Source organism: Homo sapiens, chromosome 6 (genome assembly GCF_000001405.40).
Source record: "Homo sapiens chromosome 6, GRCh38.p14 Primary Assembly".
In the NCBI taxonomy this organism is placed as follows: Eukaryota; Metazoa; Chordata; class Mammalia; order Primates; family Hominidae; genus Homo; species Homo sapiens.
The window spans coordinates 170,102,246-170,105,560 of record NC_000006.12 but is presented as its reverse complement, the minus strand read 5'-3'; positions in this window follow the sequence as shown (position 1 = coordinate 170,105,560).

Sequence of the window (3,315 nt, the reverse complement as noted above, 5' to 3'; positions counted from 1 at the left end):
ATTTACCAATGTTCAACATTATTCAACACCAATTTATGATGTTCAATACCTATTTACAATAAAAACTCTTTAAAAGCCAGATATAGAGGCCTTTAACTTTGCAAAGTTGTATACTTTAAATATACTGCAAACTCTATCTTGATAAAGAAAATGTTCTTCATAAGATGGGAAAGAATACAAAAATAATACCAAAATAGTTTAAAATAGTACTAATATCCTCTCTGATGCCATGAGGAAAGAGACGAGTGTTCCAGATTAACATAAACTTACAACATTAGAGGCTTAGCCCAGTCACCAACCAAAAAATACAATAAAAATAAGATGCATTCACAACAGCAACGAAAATCAAAAGTATCTGAGAAGTTCATGTAACAACTCCTCTGTGGGGAAAAAGATAAAAATCTGTGAAAGAACAACAAAGAAGCTCTAAGTATCCAGAAAGACATTATGTGGAGAGATCTTGGATGTGATGACGATATTTTAAAGACGTCAGTTCTCATCAGGACCACCTGTAAATTCAGTGCAATCCTAGACAAAAAGTAAAAGCCAGAATGAATCCATAGCTCAAGAAAATTTGTGTACACTAAAAATACAATACACAGTCAACAATGTGTGTTTTGTAAGAACATCTTCAAATTAGGGCATGTTCATCTGAAACATGCTCATGGTGGGGGAGAAGAGAAAATTGGAGTGGGAGATGGGGGTAAAAAGAAATAAATGAATAGGCAAATATCTAAATGCTGTAAAAACGCCAGGTGGAGTATGATTCACACAATCTTCCGCATGTGAAGTCCAACATTTTTCTAAACGATATATTTCATATAATAATATTTGTTAAATGCAAGTCAATTACTTCACCTGGTGTTTAACCAAAGAATCCATAATCTCTTTTAGCACTGAAAGAAGAACTGGCTGAAATTTTTGCATGATGGTCTATTGGTCTCCAAAAGGTAGTATCTGTGCAGTTTTTAAGGATAATTCTGACTTTACCCAGTTTTTACCCTGTTTCCTGACTTTAGAATAAATCACATTTTTTATGGAACTTATTGGCAACAAAAGATTAATTCAAGAGAAAAATGGGTAGCAAAACATGCTGATCAAATATCTGGCAAGGACCTGGCAATTTTCAAAGCAACAAGACAGAAATTGTAGCAGAGTCCCTGGGGCTGCTTTCTAGCTTCCAGGGTGAAAGATGAAGAGGTTGGGTAAAAAAAATTAGTGGGTTTCCTAAAAAAGCCCTTAGGGAGTCAGTCCCTGTGTGAAGCTGAACACTTGGCACCTAGAGACCTTTCTCTCTTGTCCCTGTAGAAGATAAATTATGCCCATGCGGTGGCTCATGCCTGTAATCCCAGCACTTTAGGAGACTGAGGCATGAGGACTGCTTTAGGCCAGGAGTTTGAGACTAGCTTGGGCAACATAGTGAGACCCCATCTCTAAAAAAAAAAAAAAAAAAAAAAATTATATCAGCTAGGCGCAGGCCAGGCGTGGTGGTCCACACCTGTAATCCCAGCACTTTGGGAGGCCGAGGTGGAGGCGGGCGGATCACCTGAGATCAGGAGTTCAAGACCATCCTGGCTAACATGGCAAAACCCTGTCTTTACTAAAAATACAAAAATTAGCCAGGTGTGGTGGCTGTCCCTGTAATCCCAGCTACTCAGGAGGCTGAGGCAGGAAATAGCTCAAATCCAGGAGATGGAGGTTGCAGTGAGCCGAGATTGCACCACTGCACTCCAGCCTGGGCAACAGAGCAAGACTCTGTCTCAAAAAAAAAAAAAAAAGAAAAAGAAAAAGAAAAAAAAGTTCAGCTAGGCATGGTGGGAAGTGCCTGGAGTCCCAGCTACTTGGGAGGCCAAGGTGGGAGGATCCCTTGAGCCAACACGTTCAAGAATGAAGGGAACTGTGATGGTGCCTCTGCACTCCAGTCCAGGTGGCAGAGTGAGAACCTGTCTCTAAAAAAAGAAAGAAGATAAAGTAAAGCAGAAAATATAAATCCTGGCAAATTGATTTTGTTTTGCTTTTTGCCGTTGGCTGGTCTCTGTACCCCCACGGTCTCAGAACGCCTACCTGGAGGGACACGCACTTCCTGACAGCAGTGAGTTCTTCCTCGGTGGTGACCACGTTTCCTGTAAGGATGGTCAGGGGTCTGCACAGGCTTGGCGAGGGGCCCCGTCTAGTGACCGCGATTTCTTTTACTGACGACACTGCTGTGCTTCTGCGGAGCTGGCCTAGGGCATCCCTGCTGCTCATGTTTTGTCAGTAGAAGCAACTTCCTGGCTGGGCCTGATGGAGGTGGAGGAGCGAGGCCTGCTGCGAGACGGAGCCCATATGGGTCTTCCTCAGGAAGGAGCTCAGCTTCAGTCATCCCTGGGTCCGTGGTAACTGAACAGGAACCCCAATTCAGAGCCGCGCAGATGCAGTGGGCTCAGCGTAGATTTTACAGAGATGTGGCCCTGGCCCCGGGGCAGCAGGAAGAATGTCACAACAAAACGCCCTCAAAAGCCTCAGCCCAGGACCCCCACACATCTGGGGAATGTGGGCAGAGGCCAGACGTGGGTCCCCGGTTGCTGCCTGCACAGGGCTTCCTCTCCACATGGGTTCCGCGGCTGCCCCCGGGGCTGGGAGATCGGATGAGGGGCCTGGGCAGGCCAGCCTGGAAGAGCCCTCCGGTCCTCTCCCCGCCAGGCTTTGCTCAATCCCCAGAAGCTTTTCCACCACTGATTAGTTCGTGCTTGCACTAGGACATCTCATAAACGGAAACGTAGGGTGTGCAGTCCTGAGTGGGGAGCACCCAGCGTCTGAAGCAGTCTGGGCTCCTCATTGGTGAGCCAGGTCCCACAGTTTACCCTCCTCTGGAGTTGGCCATATGCCGTCCCCAGGTTTGGGCTGTTAGGAATAAAGCTGCTATGAACATTCTTCTACACATCTTTTAGACTTGGACATATATTTTCATTTCTCTTGGGTAAATACCCAGGATTGGAATTGCCAGGTCCTAGGATAAGTGTGTATTTATTTTTGTAAGAAACCGGCAAACTCTTTTCAACCCATGTGTAGCCTTTCACAGCTCCTCCAAGGATTAGGAGAGTTCTCATTGCCCCACATCAGTGCCAACATTTGGCACTGTTCCCTTTTGATGTTTTAAAAATGCAAAAAGCTTATGTTACTTGAACGTCTCCTCCCTCTCACCTCAACCCAATTTCTGCAACTGCTGACAAATGGCAGAACCAGCCCATGTTGGAGTCCCCTCCTCCTGCTGCGGTCACCCCAGAGGAGGCTCAGCACAGCCAGAGTCATCAGAGGAGGACACCAGGCAGACAG